Source organism: Homo sapiens, chromosome 6 (genome assembly GCF_000001405.40).
Source record: "Homo sapiens chromosome 6, GRCh38.p14 Primary Assembly".
In the NCBI taxonomy this organism is placed as follows: domain Eukaryota; kingdom Metazoa; phylum Chordata; class Mammalia; order Primates; family Hominidae; genus Homo; species Homo sapiens.
The window spans coordinates 104,726,735-104,749,756 of NC_000006.12; the positions used below are offsets into that span (position 1 = coordinate 104,726,735).

The 23,022-nt window shown below is 35.4% G+C and overlaps 1 protein-coding gene across 18 annotated transcripts in view; it reads right to left on the minus strand.

Moving 5' to 3' along the window:
• HACE1 (HECT domain and ankyrin repeat containing E3 ubiquitin protein ligase 1) overlaps positions 1,360–23,022 on the minus strand; it is a 131,826-nt gene continuing 110,163 nt past the window's right edge. For all 18 annotated transcript variants that reach the window (NR_146787.2, NR_146789.2, NR_146790.2 and 15 more), the window contains 4 exons: positions 17,778–17,876; positions 17,426–17,496; positions 3,569–3,682; positions 1,360–3,030 (listed from right to left, as the gene is read on the minus strand). Coding sequence is in view for 11 of the 18 variants with exons in the window: in NM_001350555.2 (NP_001337484.1) it covers positions 2,928–3,030; positions 3,569–3,682; positions 17,426–17,496; positions 17,778–17,876 (387 nt within the window). In the remaining 7 variants the exon portion in view is untranslated. The remainder of the gene's footprint in view (positions 3,031–3,568; positions 3,683–17,425; positions 17,497–17,777; positions 17,877–23,022) is intronic.

Genomic DNA, 23,022 nt, shown 5'->3' on the forward strand with positions numbered 1-23,022 from the left:
TAATACATTCCCTTGCTTTATATTCGAGTGTTTTATTTCTGTTTTCTTCCTTATATGAAACTACCATGTTTTAAGAATTGAGTCATTTTCCTATTAATATAATCTTTTTCCCAAAGGAGAAAATCTAACCATTTTTCTATACTACCTTGCATTCAACATATCCATCTACATACAGAAGAAATTGTGGGAATGGAGTAAATTAGAAAGATGCTACCTCTAAATAGTATTTTTAATCTTTGTAAAATCTCTTTATATTAACTACACTCTTATTTTAAAAATGTGAAAAAATAAATCCTAAAATAAGCAGATCTATATTTTAAAATATTCAAATTGATGGTTAAAATACTATTTTATATATATGCATATGGGTGTGTGTATATATATGTATATGGGTATATATATGGGTATATAGATACACATACATGTATACGAATATATATACACATATATATGTATACGAATATATACACATACATGTATACGAATATATATACACATATATGTATACGAATATATATACATGTATGTATACGAATATATATACACATATATGTATACGAATATATATACACATGTATGTATACGAATATATATACACATGTATGTATACGAATATATATACACATGTATATGTATACGAATATATATACACATGTATATGTATACAAATATATATACACACACATGTATATGAATACACACACATGTATATGAATACACACATATATGAATACACACACATATGTATATGAATACACACACACATATGTATATGAATACACACACACGTATGTATATGAATACACACACACGTATGTATATGAATACACACACACGTATGTATATGAATACACACACACGTATGTATATGAATACACACACACGTATGTATATGAATACATACACACGTATGTATATGAATACATACACACGTATGTATATGAATACATACACACATATATATGTATATGAATATATACACACATATATATGTATATGAATATATACACACATATATATGTATATGAATATGTACACACATATATGTATATGAATATGTACACACATATATATGTATATGAATATATACATATATATATTTTTTTTGAGACAAAGTCTCACAGGCTGGAGTGCAGTCACATGATCATGTCTCATTACAGCCTCGATCTCCTGGGCTCAAGCGATCTCGCACCTAGCCTTCCAACCACAGGCACATGCCACCATGCCCAGCTTATTTTTATTTTTTTGTAGAGATGGGGTCTGCCTATGCTGTCTAGGCTGGTCTTGACTTCTGGTCTTAAGCAATTCTCCCACCTCAGCCTCTCGAAATGCTGAGATTACAGACATAAGCCACCACACTCAGTTATTTAATATTTTATTATCTATCTCTTTTACATAACTACTTGCAAAAAAAACTAATATGACAAAGCCAATGTATTATATGGTTATAAACAGAAACATATCTGTAAACATTAGTATTATAAGCAGTGTAATATTAAAGGTGGTTATCTATTTGAAAACTCAGAAGGCAGTGACTTCTACAATTAAATTTCAAAAAATCAAAACATAAAACATTATTAGCTTCAGTTACTATAAATAAAGCATCCGAATCTTAATTTTAGAGCTAATGGTAACTTTTAAATAATTCCTAAATTTCATGTAATCTGTTAAGATATATTTTGTTAACATTTAGAAAAGACAAGAGAATAAGAGAATCAAAACCAACGAATTAAAGGAGCTTTATAATTTAGCAAAACTTTCAACTTACATGTCTCTCAAACATTACTGGCAAACACAATGACTGCTTATGAGAAAATCTGCATATGTCATTCTACAAACAGTAATGTCATTAATATTCTATTTTTAGTTTCCAAGGGAAGATCCTAAACATAACAAATCCTTCCGTTAGCATTTCTTCGTGTATGCATGTTCCTACTTCCTGTTCAAACATATGCTGTAACTATTCAAGTACGTCTTTTCAAAATAAAACTGATTAACCACCCAAAAATTCAAAAACCCACCAACATCCAAGTGATATTAGGCACATATCACTTGAACTTGACATTTTAATGATGAAAAGCAAATTTAAGAAGCAAAAAAATTAACATATTTAAATTATAATTTGCACATCAGATTACTTTTTCAGATGTGTCAGAGCTCACAGATAAAAGTAATGAAAAGAAACGTGGTAAAATACATTTTAATTTTACCTTCATTATAAATTAAAATGAGGCGTAAGAAAAACATTGAGACCATAATATATACATATGGAAAACTGGCCACTGAAAGATGCAAATAATTCATACAATATAGCGTAAGCTTTCATATATAAATTATATGTCATTTCATCAACTGTTAGTATCATCAGTCTAAATTTTACAATATATATTAAAATATTAAAATGCTAAAAAAATCATTGCAATATAGAATACACTGTGGCAAAATACGTATTTGTGGCTTTATAGACAATCTAAATCCATTCTATACAATAGTTTTCTAAAATATAAATGGCAGTTTACATGCAAAAGAACACACCAGCTGGATGACCTCATATAATATATCAGAAATTAGGAGAAAACACCCTTTTAACAAGACAGTTACATAGCAGAGGTGGAATGTAGAATCAGATTTTGCCTTAATACAATCTTGGATAAAATTAATTATGAAAAAGGACAGTCTCTATTACTTTCAGTTAGCATTTTAAAAAATAAAATCTACTGTGATTTTATATTTTCTAATTGTATCACAAACAGAGAAAACATAAAAGGGAAAAGAGAGAAACAGAAAACCTGATGATCCTTTATAAATTGGAAGCATCAGCCCTGCCTATGGGTTGCATTTAGGCTGCTTTTTTGTTGACATTTTCCCAAATTACTTCTGCCATTCTGAATTGTGCATCAGTAGTCAGAGGAGTTTTCCAGACTTCATTATGCCATTGTGTAACCATAGCTGCCACAATGTAGTGCCACAAGAAGTCTGTCCTTGAGTATTTCTTTACTTGGGTATTCAGGTAACTTGAGCATGTTGATGCTTTAAAAGAAAAATATACCACCATTAAACAGGAAATCTATAAAATTTCTGATTGTTTTGCCTAGCAGTGAAAACACTACTCATAATTAACATAAAATCATCCTCCCAAATTTGCATTCAGATTGAAAAACCCTAAAGTGGTATTTAAAAAGAAGAAAAAATCTGCTGCATTGCAGTTTCTTTCAGCATGCAAATGCAGTGGAAGAAAATACGTTCCTTTCAGCTTAAAATAAATAAGCAATAGGGCAATTTAGTTTGAAGTGATGGTGTGTAACTCAGTGCTACTTACGGTAGTGTAACTTTAGTGATACTTGAACTATAGTCAATTAAATTGTAGGGAGTTAGGGCTTCCTCAAACATTTTCCCTACCAAAAACAGGGGCACAAAAAACTACATAATTACTCATCAGTGATTCCAAAATCCTGGAGAGAGATCACAGCTGAGGTTTTCCTCCCAATGCAGCAACAGTTAGATCTCTGATCATTCAAAATTAATCAAAACAATTTGTAAAGCATTTAAATAAACCAAGTCAACATACCATGTGCTTGAAGTTGGTAAAAGATTTGGAGTATATGGCACAGCAGCGATTGTAAAGTTTTGCAATCCACTTCCACCCATGATATTAGCAAACCCACCATGTGGGACCCTGGAACTAAGAGTTTATATCTTAATACATTGTAATCATGAAAGAAAGATATTTGTGACAGATAAATTTCAAGTTCTAAGTTAGGGTAGGAATATATCCAACTCTAGGACAATGACAACACGACACTTTTTAGTCTACAAAACTCCAATTCATTACTGTAAGTTGCTTTGTGATTAGTTAGCAAGCTTCCATGGAGACACCCCTCCACATTTCCATAAGCTATACTATGCTTGCAACTGGCCACAGCACATACCTCAATATTGCATTTAGTATGCTACATTTACAATTATTTGCTTTCATGTGGCTCTCTATTGAAGTGGGGCTGATTTGAGGGCCCAAACAAGTCATATTTACATCTATATCCCTGGGGCTAGCAAAATGCCTGGAGTAGACATTCATTAAATGTTTGTTGAATAGATTAATATTCGATTGACTAATTCAAGCAATAAATGCTCTGACATGTAATCCAAATGATTTCCTTGTTTGTGAAAAATATCTAGGCCCTAAAGATTTGTTTTGTTTTTTATAGTGGAAAAACTGAAAAATTCTTTATGTTCCTCTTTGATTTGATATTCAGAATATCAAATATATTTTTCAAACATCATCTAACATAATGAGGCCACAGGAAGGCTAACATATAATGCATAACACATCAGTAGAAAATTTAATCTTGGGTACATGGCTGTAGAGGATGTAATTACAACTTCTCAAGTTCTATACACATCAAAAAGAAAATTAATATTTCTTCTAAAGTTTGCCCGTGTATCATATCATGATTAAACTGATACAAAAAAAAAATTCTATTGCTTTTAAAATGAGGTGCTGTAGTGCTTTTTGGATAAATTAGAAAAATGACAAAGGAACGTTTAATGTATAGGTTACTAAATACATACTTGCAAACATCTGAATAAAATTTAAAATACTTTCTTAAAAATATGATTTATAACATAAAGCATAGTTTAGGTCACTGAAAAAAAAAGTTGAACCTCAAATAGCCTAAACAGTCTAGAAAAAAAAGAACAAAGGTGGCAGACTCACATATCCTGATTTGAAAACTTATTACAAAGCTGTGGTAATCAAAACAGTGTGATACTGCCAAGAAAAGAGACATATGAACCAGTAGAACAGAATAGAGGCCAGAAATAACCCCTCACATACATAATGAAATGATTTTCAACTAGAGTGCCAACAACATTCAAAGGGGAAAAGACAGTCTTTTCAACGAAGTGTGTTGGGAAAACCGGATATTCACTACAACGAAAATGAAGTTGGACCCTTACTTTACACTAAGTTACTTAAAAACTAACTCAAAATGGATTGAAGACCTAAATCTAAGAGCTAATACTATAAAACTCTTAGAAGAAAATATAAGGGAAAAGTTTCATAATACTGGATTTGGCAACGATTTATTGAATATGACACCAAATTGATATCCAGAACATACAAAGAATTCCCATAGAAAAAAAAAAAAATCCCGATTAAAAATGGGCAAACAATTGAAAAAGACATTTCTCCAAAAAAAAGATAAACAAATGCCCAATAAGCACATGAAAAGATGCTCAACATCACCATTTACTAGGGAAATGCCAATCAAAACCACTTCACACTCATTAAGATGACTATCGGCAAAAAATCAAAAAAACAAAAGACAGAAAATTACAAGTATTGGCAAGGATGTGGAGAAATTGCTGCTGGGAATGTAAAATGATGCAGCCTCTGTGGAAAACAGTATGCAAGTTCCTCAACAAAATTAACAGAATTACAATACAGAATTATCATATGATCAGGCAATTCCACTTCTGGGTATATATCCAAAAGAACTGAAAGCACGGACTCAAAGAAGTATCTGCGCATACAGCAGCATTATTCACAATAGCCAAATGGTAGAAGCAACCCAAGTGTCCATCAACAGATGGCTGGATTATTATTTAGCCAAGGGAGTATTATTTAGCCTTAAAAAGGAAGCAAATTTTGATATGTGCTACAAAATGGATGAATCTAGAAGACCTTATGCTAAGTGAAATAAAGCAATCACAAAAGGACAAATATTGTATGATTCCATGTATACGAAGTTCTTAGAGTAGTCAAATTCGTAGACATAAAATTGGTGGTTGTTAGAGGCGGGTGGGAAAGGAGGAGGGGGAGTTAGTGTTTAAAGTACAGTTTCAGTTGGGAAAGATGAAAAAATTCAGAAGATGGATGGTGGTGATAGTCACACATTAATGTGAATGCACTTAATGCCACAAAAGTGTACACTTAAAAATTGTTTAAATGATACATTTTATGATATGCATTTACACACACACACAAATGGTTGAAAATATGCACCAGGATTGTCTATTTGAAATCACTGATATGTATACATCCACAGGGAAAAAAACATTTAACAATCCAATATGAAAGAATCCCTAAAAACAGCAATTTTCTCTTCTATCTGGGAAGTCGTCTGGTTTGGTTTACTGATGAAATTCTTGAGCTTACTTTAATAAACCAAGGCAACATTAAAAGTATGCCTGAATCTTGCTTATAAGACACTAATGCATAAACAATTCCTATTAACAGCAAGAGAATATATACAGAAGACCTGGCTATATCTCCTTGTAAGTTGAAATAAAATTCAACATTAGTTAATTTATAGATTTAACTTTTGCCTAAAAAATTAATAACGTGACCAAACATAAAAAGGGATAAAAATCAAGTCGTTCTGAATTTCCTATGATGTCGAATTTCAAATTAAATGTAACTATTTTATCAAGGCAAGATGAGAAAATAAATGTTGACATTGATTTTTATACAAATTATAGCACAGTATTTCAATATCAATATGATCAATCTAATGTCCTCCACACAAGTAAATTTTGAACGGTAAGTTAAAAATTCAGAAGATCCTCTAGTTTTAACATCTTAATTAAAATTATTCTATAAGCTGATAAACCATTCCTGAAACCTTATTCTTTTCCTACACTATGAATAAATATGGCTGGCCCCATACTTATATAATCAGATCTGATCATGTTAAGATCATAATTCATCAGGCATAAGTATATATGAGAAAAATAAATAAAACAGTCTTTGGTTGAATATTATGACACTTAGATTATACAGTATAAAATTACAGTAAACAAAAATGGCATATTTCTATTTTATTTAAAAAGTAATTGGCCAGGCGCGGTGGCTCACGCCTGTAATCCCAGCACTTTGGGAGGTCGAGGCTGGTGGATCACTTGAGATCAGTAGGGACCAGACTGGCCAACATGGTGAAACCCCGTCTCTACTAAAAATACAAAAATTAGCCAGGCGAAGTGATGTGTGCACCTGTAATTGGAGGCTAAGGAAGGAGAATCGCTTGAACCCAGAAGGTGGAAGTTGCAGTGAGCTGAGATCAACCACTGCACTCCAGCCTGGGCAATAGAGCAAGACTTCATCTCAAAAAAAAAAGAAAAGAGAAAAAAAAGAAATCAGCCGGACACAGTGATTCGCGCCTGTAATCCCAGCACTTTGGGAAGCCAAGGCAGGTGGATCACTTGAGGTCAGGAGATCGAGACCAGCCTGGCCAACATGGTGAAACTCCATCTTTACTAAAAATACAAAATTAGCTGGGCATGGTGGTAAGCGCCTGTAATCCCAGCGACTCGGGAGGGCTTAGGCAGGAGAATCACTTCAACCTGGGAGGCGGGGGTTGCAGTGAGCCGAGTGAGATCCAGCCTGAGAAACAGAGCAAGACTCTTCCTCAAAAAAAAAAAAAAAAAAAAGAAATCATCAAGTCTGATTCTTAAGGGATAATGAAACAGTAAAACATTTAAGATGGCCTTATAGAGCAACAAAATATTAATGTCAATACTATAAAAATATTTAAAAATCACTTTTTGTATTAATTCTTGGTTCAACAATTGGAACACGTTTGATTTTTCAGTAAGGTTGCGCTAAATTATACTACAGACCTGTAGAAAGATACTTCAGTATCTAAATATAAACTAATACAGAATACAGAATACAGAATCCAAAAATTAAAAAAGAAAAAAAATTTATACTTTTGGTTTTGAATGACAAGTACTATACCTATACTAATGACTGGGAGTTCGAGGTAAAATTTAAGATTTTAAAAAGCTTAAAACTTTCTCAGTTTGAACTCAAAATATAGAGCTCTAATTACACTCAATGTTGAAAGGTGAATTCTTCAATCCAAGGGTGAAGCTAGCTCCGTGTTGTTTCCCCTCAGCTTCCTTGGCTTCTACTCTTCACCCACATCTTTCACCTCCATTCAAGTGTGGATTTGCCACACTTCATAACTAAATAATAAATAGCACACCTCTTTTTCAGCATTGCTAAGAATGACTGTACTATTTAAAGTGGAGAAGGCTTGCATATTACTAATTCTAGTGTTTTACTCTATAGGAGCAGCCACCTAAGAGACAACTTAGTACTAAAAAACTTGAATAACTGATTTCTGCATCTTAAAGACTCATACTGACCAAATCATGGGGAAAATATAGTAATTCACTAGATGGTGTTGAAGTATAAACCATTTAGAAAAATATACTTGACAACATAAATCAAAATAAGGTCCGGATGGTTTAAAAATTGGAATGTAAAAACAGAAATTATAAAAACTTACATTAAAAAATTTATATAAACATATATATAAAATCTTAGGAGTAGGGAAGGATTTACAAAAACCACAAAGGAAAGCAATGATAATCAATTTGGCAATACCGTAATTTAAAACTTTCAAGTTATAAATTTAAATTACATGGAAATCTCTATATTTAACTTTGATACACCAAGAAAACTATTTGCAGAGTTAATACCCCTAATATATAAACAACACTTAAAACTGAATTTTTAAAAATGATTGTGGAATACCAAATAATAAAGATAGGTAATTCATACCACACACAAAAAACTATATAAAATAAATTATATGAAAGTAAAAATGGGCCGGGTGCGGTGGCTCACGCCTACATGTAATCCCAGCATTTTGGGAGGCCGAGGCGGGCAGATCACAAGGTCAGGAGATCGAGACCACCCTGGCTAACAAGGTGAAACCCCGCCTCTACTAAAAATACAAAAATTAGCCATGCATGGTGGCGGGTGCCTATAGTCCCAGCTACTTGGGAGGCTGAGGCAGGAGAATGGCGTGAACCCAGGAGGCGCAGCTTACAGTGAGCCGAGATGGCGCCAGTGCACTCCAGCCTGGACGACAGAGCGAGACTCCGTCTCAAAAAAAAAAAAAGTAAAAATGACTATACCCTGTGCTGATAAAAGGAGTACATTCTCTCATTCTCTACTGACATCAATACCCTTCTAGAAGATAAATGAATATATATCAAGATTATAAAAATTTATATATTCTCATACACAAAAATATCCTAAGAATTTATCCTCTATAATCAGACTGTCCCACAAGGATAGAAGCACAAAATATTCCTTATTCATAAATAGGAAAATTTAGCAATAAAGAATCAATTAAAGGAAGTCCCTAAAAATAAAACTAGATAGCCATTAAAAATTACATAGATCTATAAATTTAGTAACATATTGCTAAATTCAAAAAGTTATAAAATAACAATAGTTTTAAAAGTAAAAATTGTATATGTGTTAAAAATTCTAGAAGAATAACAAAAATGTTATCAGTGATTATTTTTAGGAATACAGATTGGAAGTGGTTTTTTTTCTCCTATCTGAATTGTCAAATTATCAACTTTCTTACATAAAAAATATAATTATTTTTTCATCCTTTTTATTAAGTTATTCAAGCCTCTGAGTATTTCTTGGCATTCAGAGGCAAAAAACAAAAACAAAAAAAAGTTTTTCTTTTATATTTTTAGTCTATAACCTGTTAATAGTTATGTCTTATTTATTTATTATTTTTTATTATTATTATTATTTTTTGAGACAGGGTCTCACACTGTCACCCCAGCTAGAGTGCAGTGGTGCAATCTCGGCTCACTGCAATCTCCACCTCCCAGGCTCAAGTGATCCTCCCACCTCAGAACCCTGAGTAGCTGGGACCACAGGCATGCGCCACCATGCCCAGATAATTTTTGTATTTTTGTAGAGACGGTTTCGCCATGTTGCCCAGGCTGGTCCCAAACTCCTGAGCTCAAGTGATCTGCCCACCTCAGCCTCTCAAAGTGCTAGGATTACAGGCACTACTATAAATGTCTTATCTTTAATACCAAAACAAATCTTTAATACCTAAAACAGTGGGAAGGGTGGTAAGTTATTGACAATTCAGAGTAATAATTCCTCGTTTTAGTTATCTCTAAGCCACAAAAACAATATATTAAATTATTTCCATATTATCATAAAAATACTGCTTACTTGGCAGTAACAAACTGCAAGAGAAGTACCTTGCCCAGCCTATTTATTCTTTAAAATTAGATTTATAGTGTGAGTCCAACTATTTTTCTAACTATACAGTAAAAAGACTAAAAAAAATAAGCAAAATGTTAATTGTATGTATCTCTGAATAGTGGGATCACTTAACATTAAGGATTTTAATTTTCTTCTATTTTCTCCATTTTCCAAATTTTCTACAATGATTAAACACTACTTTTAAAATAAAAAACACAGTTTTTAAAAATTATAGGCCAGGCACGGTGGCTCACACCTGTAATCCTAGCACTTTGGGAGGCCGAGGCGGGTGGATCACCTGAGGTCAGGAGTTCAAGACCAGCTTGGCCACGATGGTGAAACCTCATCTCTACTAAAAAAAAAAAAATACAAAAATTAGCTGGACGTGGTGGCAGGCACCTGTACTCCCAACTACTTGGGAGGCTGAGGCAGGAGAATCACTTGAACCCAGGGGGCGGAGGTTGCAGATCGAGCCACTGCACTCCAGCCTGGGGGACAGAGTGAGACTCTCTCTCAAAAAAAAAAAAAAAAAAAAAAAAAGAAAATTTGGGGGAGGAGCCAAGATGGCCAAATAGGAACAGCTCCGGTCTACAGCTCCCAGCGTGAGCCACGCAAAAGATGGTGATTTCTGCATTTCCATCTGAGGTACCGGGTTCATCTCATTAGGGAGTGGCAGACAGTGGGCGCAGGTCAGTGGGTGTGCGCACCGTGCGCGAGCCGAAGCAGGGCGAGGCATTGCCTCACTTGGGAAGCGCAAGGGGTCAGGGAGTTCCCTTTCTGAGTCAAAGAAAGGGGTGACAGACGGCACCTAGAAAATCGGGTCACTCCCACCCGAATACTGCGCTTTTCCGATGGGCTTAAAAAACGGCGCACCACGAGATTATATCCTGCACCTGGCTCGGAGGGTCCTACCCCACGGAGTCTCGCTGATTGCTAGCACAGCAGTCTGAGACCAAACTGCAAGGCAGCAGCGAGGCTGGGGGAGGGGCGCCCGCCATTTTCCAGGCTTGATTAGGTAAACAAAGCAGCGGGGAAGCCCGAACTGGGTGGAGCCCACCACAGCTCAAGGAGGCCTGCCTGCCTCTGTAGGCTCCACCTCTGGGGGCAGGGCACAGACAAACAAAAAGACAGCAGTAACCTCTGCAGACTTAAATGTCCCTGTCTCACAGCTTTGAGGAGAGCAGTGGTTCTCCCATCACGCAGCTGGAGATCTGAGAACGGGCAGACTGCCTCAAGTGGGTCCCTGACCCCCGAGCAGCCTAACTGGGAGGCACCCCCCAGCAGGGGCACACTGACACCTCACACGGCAGGGTATTCCAACAGACCTGCAGCTGAGGGTCCTGTCTGTTAGAAGGAAAACTAACAAACAGAAAGGACATCCACACCAAAAACCCATCTGTACATCACCATCATCAAAGACCATAAGTAGATAAAACCACAAAGATGGGGAAAAAACAGAACAGAAAAACCGGAAACTCTAAAAAGCAGAGTGCCTCTCCTCCTCCAAAGGAACGCAGTTCCTCACCAGCAACGGAACAAAGCTGGATGGAGAATGACTTTGATGAGCTGAGAGAAGAAGGCTTCAGACGATCAAATTACTCTGAGCTACGGGAGGACATTCAAACCAAAGGCAAAGAAGTTGAAAACTTTGAAAAAAATTTAGAAGAATGTATAACTAGAATAACCAATACAGAGAAGTGCTTAAAGGAGCTGATGGAGCTGAAAACCAAGGCTCGAGAACTACGTGAAGAATGCAGAAGCCTCAGGAGCTGATGTGATCAACAGGAAGAAAGGGTATCAGCGATGGAAGATGAAATGAATGAAATGAAGCGAGAAGGGAAGTTTAGAGAAAAAAGAATAAAAAGAAATGAGCAAAGCCTCCAAGAAATATGGGACTATGTGAAAAGACCAAATCTATGTCTGATTGGTGGACCTGAAAGTGATGGGGAGAATGGAACCAAGTTGGAAAACACTCTGCAGGATATTATCCAGGAGAACTTCCCCAGTCTAGCAAGGCAGGCCAACGTTCAGATTCAGGAAATACAGAGAATGCCACAAAGATACTCCTCGAGAAGAGCAACTCCAAGACACATAACTGTCAGATTCACCAAAGCTGAAATGAAGGAAAAAATGTTAAGGGCAGCCAGAGAGAAAGGTCGGGTTACCCTCAAAGGGAAGCCCATCAGACTAACAGCGGATCTCTCGGCAGAAACCCTACAAGCCAGAAAAGAGTGGGGGCCAATATTCAACATTCTTAAAGAAAAGAATTTTCAACCCAGAATTTCATATCCAGCCAAACTAAGCTTCATAAGCGAAGGAGAAATAAAATACTTTACAGACAAGCAAATGCTGAGAGATTTTGTCACCACCAGGCCTGCCCTAAAAGAGCCTGAAGGAAGCGCTAAACATGGAAAGGAACAACTGGTACCAGCCACTGCAAAATCATGCCAAAATGTAAAGACCATCAAGACTAGGAAGAAACTATATCAACTAACGAACAAAATAACCAGCTAACATCATACTGACAGGATCAAATTCACACATAACAATATTAACCATAAATGTAAATGGACTAAATGCTCCAATTAAAAGACACAGACTGGCAAATTGGATAAAGAGGCAAGACCCATCAGTGTGCTGTATTCAGGAAACCCATCTCACGTGCAGAGACACACATAGGCTCAAAATAAAAGGATGGAGGATGATCTACCAAGCAAATGGAAAACAAAAAAAGGCAGGGGTTGCAATCCTAGTCTCTGATAAAACAGACTTTAAACCAACAAAGATCAAAAGAGACAAAGAAGGCCATTACATAATGATAAAGGGATCAATTCAACAAGAAGAGCTAACTATCCTAAATATATATGCACCCAATACAGGAACACCAAGATTCATAAAGCAAGTCCTGAGTGACCTACAAAGAGACTTAGACTCCCACACATTAATAATGGGAGACTTTAACACCCCACTGTCAACATTAGACAGATCAACGAGACAGAAAGTCAACAAGGATACCCAGGAATTGAACTCAGCTCTGCACCAAGCGGACCTAATAGACATCTACAGAACTCTCCACCCCAAATCAACAGAATATACATTTTTTTCAGCACCACACTACACCTATTCCAAAATTGACCACATACTTGGAAGTAAAGCTCTCCTCAGCAAATGTAAAAGAACAGAAATTATAACAAACTATCTCTCAGACCACAGTGCAATCAAACTAGAACTCAGGATTAAGAAACTCACTCAAAACCACTCAACTACATGGAAACTGAACAAGCTGCTCCTGAATGACTACTGGGTACATAATGAAATGAAGGCAGAAATAAAGATGTTCTTTGAAACCAATGAGAACAACGACACAACATACCAGAATCTCTGGGATGCATTCAAAGCAGTGTGTAGAGGGAAATTTATAGCACTAAATGCCCACAAGAGAAAGCAGGAAAGATCCAAAATTGACACCCTAACATCACAATTAAAAGAACTAGAAAAGCAAGAGCAAACACATTCAAAAGCTAGCAGAAGGCAAGAAATAACTAAAATCAGAGCAGAACTGAAGGAAATAGAGACACAAAAAACCCTTCAAAAAATTAATGAATCCAGGAGGTGGTTTTTTGAAAGGATCAACAAAATTGATAGACCGCTAGCAAGACTAAAAAAGAGAGAAGAATCAAATAGATGCACTAAAAAATGATAAAGGGGATATCACCATTAATGCTACAGAAATACAAACTACCATCAGAGAATACTACAAACACCTCTATGCAAATAAACTAGAAAATCTAGAAGAAATGGATAAATTCCTCGACACATACACTCTCCCAAGACTAAACTAGGAAGAAGTTGAATCTCTGAATAGACCAATAACAGGATCTGAAATTGTGGCAATAATCAATAGCTTACCAACCAAAAAGAGTCCAGGACCAGATGGATTCACAGCCAAATTCTACCAGAGGTACAAGGAGGAACTGGTACCATTCCTTCTGAAACTATTCCAATCAATAGAAAAAGAGGGAATCCTCCCTAACTCATTTTATGAGGCCAGCATCATTCTGATACCAAAGCCAGGCAGAGACACAACAAAAAAAGAGAATTTTAGACCAATATCCTTGATGAACATTGATGCAAAAATCCTCAATAAAATACTGGCAAAACGAATCCAGCAGCACATCAAAAAGCTTATCCACCATGATCAAGTGGGCTTCATCCCTGGGATGCAAGGCTGGTTCAATATACGCAAATCAATAAATGTAATCCAGCACATAAACAGAACCAAAGACAAAAACCACATGATTATCTCAATAGATGCAGAAAAGGCCTTTGACAAAATTCAACAACCTTCATGCTAAAAACTCCCAATAAATTAGGTATTGATGGGATGTATCTCAAAATAATAAGAGTTATCTATGACAAACCCACAGCCAATATCATACTGAATGGGCAAAAACTGGAAGCATTCCCTTTGAAAACTGGCACAAGACAGGGACGCCCTCTCTCACCACTCCTATTCAACATAGTGTTGGAAGTTCTGGCCAGGGCAATTAGGCAGGAGAAGGATATAAAGGGTATTCAATTAGGAAAAGAGGAAGTCAAATTGTCCCTGTTTGCAGATGACATGATTGTATATTTAGAAAACCCCATTGTATCAGCCCCAAATCTCCTTAAGCTGATAAGCAACTTCAGCAAAGTCTCAGGATACAAAATCAATGTGCAAAAATCACAAGCATTCTTATACACCAACAACAGACAAACAGAGAGCCAAATCATGAGTGAACTCCCATTCACAATTGCTTCAAAGAGAATAAAATACCTAGGAATCCAACTTACAAGGGATGTGAAGGACCTCTTCAAGGAGAACTACAAACCACTGCTCAAGGAAATAAAAGAGGATACAAACAAATGGAAGAACATTCCATGCTCATGGGTAGGAAGAATCATTATCGTGAAAATGGCCATACTGCCCAAGGTAATTTACAGATTCAATGCCATCCCCATCAAGCTACCAATGACTTTCTTCACAGAACTGGAAAAAACTACTTTAAAGTTCATATGGAACCAAAAAAGAGCCCACATCACCAAGTCAATCTTAAGCCAAAAGAACAAAGCTGGAGGCATCACACTACCTGACTTCAAACTATACGACAAGGCTACAGTAACCAAAACAGCATGGTACTGGGACCAAAACAGAAATATAGATCAATGGAACAGAACAGAGCCCTCAGAAATAACGCCACGTATCTACAACTATCTGATCTTTGACAAACCTGAGAAAAACAAGCAATGGGGAAAGGATTCCCTATTTAATAAATGGTGCTGGGAAAACTGGCTAGCCATATGTAGAAAGCTGAAACTGGATCTCTTCCTTACACCTTATACAAAAATCAATTCAAGATGGATTAAAGACTTAAACGTTAGACCTAAAACCATAAAAACACTAGAAGAAAACCTAGGCATTACCATTCAGGACATAGGCATGGGCAAGGACTTCATGTCTAAAACACCAAAAGCAATGGCAACAAAAGACAAAATTGACAAATGGGATCTAATTAAACTAAAGAGCTTCTGCACAGCAAAAGAAACTACCATCAGAGTGAACAGGCAACCTACAAAATGGGAGAAAATTTTCACAACCTACTCATCTGACAAAGGGCTAATATCCAGAATCTAGAATGAACTCAAACAAATTTACAAGAAAAAAACAAACAACCCCATCAAAAAGTGGGCAAAGGACAGGAACAGACACTTCTCAAAAGAAGACATTTATGCAGCCAAAAAACACATGAAACAATGCTCATCATCACTGGCCATCAGAGAAATGCAAATCAAAACCACAATGAGATACCGTCTCACACCAGTTAGAATGGCGATCATTAAAAAGTCAGGAAACAACAGGTGCTGGAGAGGATGTGGAGAAACAGGAACACTTTTACACTGTTGGTGGGACTGTAAACTAGTTCAACCATTGTGGAAGTCAGTGTGGCGATTCCTCAGGGATCTAGAACTGGAAATACCATTTGACCCAGCCATCCCATTACTGGGTATATACCCAAAGGACTATAAATTATGCTGCTATAAAGACACATGCACACATATGTTTATTGCGGCATTATTCACAATAGCAAAGACTTGGAACCAACCCAAATGTCCAACAATGATAGACTGGATTAAGAAAATGTGGCACATAAACACCATGGAATACTATGCAGCCATAAAAAATGATGAGTTCATGTTCTTCGTAGGGACATGGATGAAATTGGAAATCATCGTTCTCAGTAAACTATCGCAAGAACAAAAAACCAAACACCGCGTATTCTCATTCATAGGTGGGAATTGAACAATGAGATCACATGGACACAGGAAGGGGAATATCACACTCTGGGGACTGTTGTGGGGTGGGGGGAGGGGGGAGGGATAGCATTGGGAGATATACCTAATGCTAGATGACGAGTTAGTGGGTGCAGCGCACCAGCATGGCACATGTATACATATGTAACTAACCTGCACAATGTGCACATGTACCCTAAAACTTAAAGTATAATAATAAAAAAAAATTATATATATGTATTTTATGTAGATATATATTCACTATTATGCTTTTTAAATATGCAGAAAAAACATAGAAGAAAATATATTAAATTGTTTATAGTGGTTATGGCTGATGGGCTATGGTTTTTCTTATTCTAATTTTCTATTTTCTAACTTTCCTAGGAGAAATATGTACATTTATAATGAAAAAAACCAAACTACATTTTCATAAATAGAAGATAAAATTCTGTTATCCAAAATGAAAATCAGACTTTTTTTACATCTTTCAGAAATACAAGCTAAAAGATGGTTAAATCATCTAGTTTTCTAATATCTATTATATTTAACTGGTTCCAAAAGTGAACTTTTCAGAGAAGTGTAGTACCACAAATTATTTTTTAGGCCATGAATCTTGACACTTTAAAGTTTACTTTGAATTACAGAAAAACTGTTGTGTATGGGTAATACAGAGTTAACCAGGATAAACTGAATTGCCTTACTATTAAACCAAACCAGCAATATACAAATATTAAAATATTAAAATAATATACAAATATTAAAAATTTGGCTACTATCATTGACCTACCTGCAGAGCAAAAAGATTTCCAAATTATAAAGTACAATATACTGATAATCCTAACTGGAGATGCTTTTTAATATATTAAGTAAACATGATTGCTCACTACTATAAATGTCTTATCTTTAATACCAAAATAAATCTTTCTTTAATACCTAAAACAGTGGAAAGGGTGGTAAGTTACTGACAATTCAGAGTAATAATTCCTTATTTTAGTTATCTCTAAGCCATTAAAAGCAGAATACATTAAATTATTTCCATATTATCATAAAAATACTGCTTACCTGCCCGTAACAAACTGTAAGAGAAGAACTCTCTCCTCTTGAGTAATGTCTTCTACAACTTCCCAGAACCACTAACAACAAGAACAAAAAACTTAGCTCATATTTCAGAGCAATTGTAGACTTCTCAATACCAGAGAAATATGCAATATTCATAAAGCACATTTTATTCTACAAAACTCGTTTACCAAAAATGATTTCATGCAAAGCTTTCATATGCACTATTCCCACAAGAATAATTTGGGTAAACACTTTACTTTGTTAATTAATGTAAGTTTTCATCCAATAGTGCTGAAAAGCTTACAAAATTAAACGGCAAAACTTAACTTCATTCTAAGCTCTAGAGAAATTTTACCTGAATAACTGGATCTTCTCTTTCATAGCCACTTGTGTATTCTGTATTTTTTATCCAATCACTCACATCAATTTCTGGCATGCCAGAAAGCAGTAGCTCCTTGGGGGAAGAAGAAAAATATTTCAATAATTTTCTTTAGGGAAAAAAGTTATTATATTTAAGTGGTAAATTTGCCATAATTAGAAACTAATCCCATGTAAAACTGATATATTTTTGTGACAGTTCCTGCATGTCATCAACAACAAGCATTACATGAGAGAGAATCCTTGACGCTGATAATCTCAAATATTATAAGATGTGGAGATGTTTCCACATTGATACAATTTCATTAAAACATAAGAGATTATAGTTTATATGTTTATGTGTGAACATATGCAACAACAGTTTATATGTGCAAAAGTTTTATGAACATTATCTTTGGTTTACTTTATATTTTTACAATTCTTTGCAATTTTGTTAACTTCTGTAAGGAGACAGTATTCTCAACATGAAAGTGACAACAAAGACCCGAATAAATACTTGACTAAACAAGGGGAAAGTCATCAAGAAATCATTATCATGAGGAAAAAGGAGGTAATATAAAAATAGTTACGATTTTTAAAAAAGATTTAGGCCTTTTAGGAATTCAATTCTGGAATAATTTGGATCCTGTAAAGTCAATTTTCTCCAAAGTCAAAAAAAATGCAATTTTCCTAATGACTTGATAGGTTTATTTTATCCAGGAAGATCATCAAAGACACAAAATCTCAATCGTATAAGTAAAAATGAAATTAAGAATGGCAAAGTATTTACCTTTTTGTTTTCCAAGGGAAAAGAGGACATGAAAAGAGCTTGTCCACTTCTCTGAATCAGTCCATATATCACAGTTAGAGATGCTTACATAGTCAGGGGAGGCAATGATTGGCCTACACTTTACACTGATGATTCAGAATATCAGGATTTCCTTTTTTTTTGAGACCGAGTCTGGCTCTGTCACCCAGGCTGGAGTGCAGTGGCGCGGCTCACTGCAAGCTCCACCTCCCGGGTTCACGCCATTCTCCCACCTCAGCCTCCCAAGTAGCTAGGACTACAGGCGCCTGCCACCATGCCCGGCTAATTTTTTTGTAGTTTTAGTAGAGATGAGGTTTCACCGTGTTAGCCAGGATGGTCTCAATCTCCTGACCTTGTGATCCACCCACCTCAGCCTCCAAAAGTGCTGGGATTACAGGCGTGAACCACCGTGCCCGGCCAGGATTTCTTATTACAGGGATGTAGATGCCCTGTGATTCAAAATCATGTCTCCTATAGTAAACTACTCATAACATATACCTGACCTTGTACCTTAAATAAGATTGATATAAGGCAACATCTGAGAACTCTTGAGGGTTTCCGAGATCTACTCAGTGGGTCCATGAGGTTCTCCCTTTTCCAACTTATCTGTATGAGGTTGAGTTTTCTTCATATATTTCAACCAAACAACATACCAAAACAGATTATACACAAAAGCAGTTGTAAGGGCCCATTTGTCTTCTACTAAGCTAGACATTAAAGAAATTTGCAAAACTGTTAAACAGTACCAGTCTTCCCACTGTTTCTGTTTTGTTCTGGAAAATGCAATTTTAGTTTTTCAAATGTTCTCTATGTTAATATAATAATGGATTATTTTATGTGAATAAAATATTTTACATTTCTGTTTTAATTTCAAGTAAATATCCATTGACATAACCCACATAAACAAAAACTCTTTTGTTTTAAGGGGTCCTAAGACCAAAAAGTTTTAGAACTGCTAGTATAGGGTGTGTTTTAGTCCTAGTCACAGTGTTATAGAATCCTTTTCCTAGATGAAGACAGTCTAGTCTACATTGACCACCCCCAAATACATTCTCTAGCTTCCTTTGCACTGCAGACTGGCTGCTTTGCCTGCTGGCTGTCTTGCCAGCTGGCTTTGGTTTGGGTTTGGAGCCTGGGAAACATAGGCAGTTAGTCTGGAGGTGAGGGTACTCTCTGCTCCCCCACTGCTTCAGCATCTCTTTGCAGTAGCTATGGCTCCTCAAGTATGGCTACCATCAGGTGGCCCCTCCTTGGTGGTTCAGGCTCCCACGGGGCTCTTCACAGTAATTCCTCTACCTGTCTCTTCAGTCCTAGGGATGATAAAGGCTTTCCCTGTTGCCAGTCTGTGGATGTCTCACTAGACATTGTTTATTCTTAACACTGCCCATACCTCTGTCATAGTCCCTTTGTTAAAGTTTCGATATTTGAACCATCTGGAGAAATTCTGTTCCCTGACAGGACTCTGATATAGGTTTGCTAAAAGGGAGTGGGACAGGCTTTACGCATGTCTTACAATTCATGAGTTTAATCCTTTTCCCTTCTAGGCTGAAGATAAGCTTTCAATAATATTAAGTATGCTTTCATTATTCATAATTATGAATAAAAATGACTAACATTATATTCTCTCAAGAAATTTGAAGCACTTCATGAATATCACATTAATTGTTACGATTTTTTTTCAAGAAGAAGAAAAAGAAAGGATCTTTATTATCCCATCTGGTTACTAAACTGACCAAAAACAAACAGATGAAATGAGAATTCCAGAATAAAATGTACATATTAAGAAAAATATTTTAAGCCCCAATCAATTTTTTTAATACAACAAAATAATTGAATTCATCTGTTGGAACTATGTGTAAGGTATATAACTCATACTAATAGTTAGAAACTGAATCATGAAAGTATTCATAGGCATCAGCTTACCTAGCATCACACGATTCAGTGTTTTTATATTCTGGTTCTATCATGGATAAATTCACAAGCAGCACAGTATGGAAGAACAGTCCACAGTCATCTCTTGATGCCTTCTGTCTACAATGGATGACTACACCTCCAGTTCAGTACACTGGAGCTACTCGATACCTTCTCCTCACTAAAACTCTAGAATTTAACCTGAATCCTTTAACTCAGATGCACATCTAGTTTAGACGTTTGTACCAAATTTTTTAAAAGTTTCCTTTCTCAGTGCAGCATAGCCCTCCCCTATGAAAGACACAAAGTCACACAAAAAGTTCTAAAGCCAAGTCCCTCTGATTACTCATGCCACCAAGCAGCAGACTGGCAACAGTGATGGTATCTGGGGTCAGGGAACATGAGTTCATAGCCTATCACTAACACATGCTCTATGACCATGAACAAGTTCCATATCTTCTTTGGCCTAGTTTTCTCATCTGTAAAATGGGGACAATAGTACTCACCTCAAGAGATTTTTTGTGAGCGTTTTTAAAGTTAATACATATAAAATACCTGGCAAATACTAAATGCTTAATAATTATTATTATCACTGTATAAATCAAGACCATGCCTACAATGTTGCTCTTCCCAAATGTGAATCAGCTCAACTTAGTAAAGTCAGAGTCCAAGACAAACTAGGAACCTGATCTAAATTTTAATGTAAGAGCCACAATTAAAAACTTACCAGTAACAGACCTAAATGTGAAAGATAAAGGAATAAAGCTTTTAAAAGAAAACACAGAAAAATATCTTCACAGCCTTGGAGTAAGAAACAGTTTCTAAAACAGGACACAAAAAGCTTCTTCCATCAAAAAAAACAAAACAAAACAAAAAAAACTGATAAACTGAACTATGTTAAACCCCAAAATTTTTATTCACTGAAAAGACCTGAGTAGAAAATATTCATAATACATATATCTGATAAAAGACTCTTATAAAAGAATTCATAAAGAGTCCTACAAATCAGTAAAAAGAAAAAAAAACACAATAGAAAAGTGGGCAAATTACTTAAATAGACACTTTGAAAACAGTACACAAATGGCTATAATCATAAAAGGTGTGTAACTTCATTAGCTATCAGGTAAATACAAATTAAAATCTCAAGGAAAGACCACTACTGAATTACCAGAATGGAAATGAAAAAGATGGAAAATTATCAAATGCTAGTGAGAATGCAGAACACCCAGAACTCTCACACCTCCTAATGGGAGTGTAAACTGATGCATCACTTGAGAAACTATCTGCTCCTATCTACTGAAATGGGGTACATGCACAGCCTATGTCCCAGCAATTCCACTCCAAGGCATATAACCTACAGAATGCAAACTTATGTTTTCCTAAAGGCATGTTTATAGCAGCAGTACTTGAAAGAGCCTGAAACTGAAAAGTACCCACTAAATGTTCATCAAGAGTAGAAAAGACTAAAGGAAACTGAAATGCTATACAGCAATTAAAATGAACAAATTACCAACTGCATGCAACAATATGTATGATTCCCACAAACAAAAACTTGAGCTAAGAAAGCCAGATACATTCTATTTACATAATTCTAAAATAGGCGAATCTCGTCTATGATTTTAGAAGTCAGGAGAATGGTTACCCTTAAGGTGGGAGAATGACTGGAGGGAGATGACAGAGTGACATATGGGGTGCTAGAATTTCTGTTTCTTCATCTGGGTGTTAGTTTCATGGGTATGTTCAGTTTGTTAAAACTTATCAAGCTATACATTTATGATGTGTGTCCTTTTCTGCATGTATATCATAACCCAAAGTTTTATAAACTTATTGATATCAGTAAATTACAAGGCAAAGTTTTCATCAATTATTTTTGTTGTTGCTATTTGTTTTTTACATACATATAGGTCCAGCAAATAACTAATGCTCTGTTTTGAATTTCAAAAGGCTAATTTAATCCAAGCACAGTACAGGAAAAGCCATATTGCAGTCAGGTCTAATAATATAATAGCTCAAATAGTCCTCCATTTTTAAATGCTGAAAATCACTTCTATTGTTACATAAAAACTAGACAAATCTATGCTAACTGAAGCCATTAACTGTACAGCTTAAAAACAATCAAAAAAACCTCAAAACTTACATTTAATGAAACTAAATCACAATGGACTTCAAAATTAATTAGCAAATTTTATTCACTATTATACTAAGATATACTATGAATGATAAATTAAAAATACTGATACATATGTAAAATTAAAGGTATATATCCGTATCTGTATCCATATACTAAAATGAAAGGCATGGGGTAAAACTAATTTTCTGAGACAGAATAAAAACTAAATAAAACATTTCCACTGATCTGGAACTTACTATTCCAAATTATATACTTTTAGGTAAGAAAGCAGCTATATGCTATTTAAAATACTGTGCTTTATTAAGATTTAGACAACTCAAAGAGTTTAAAAATAATTCTCCAAATTACCAAAACTAAAGAGAAAAAGAAAATAGAGAAAAATGCAGACATAAA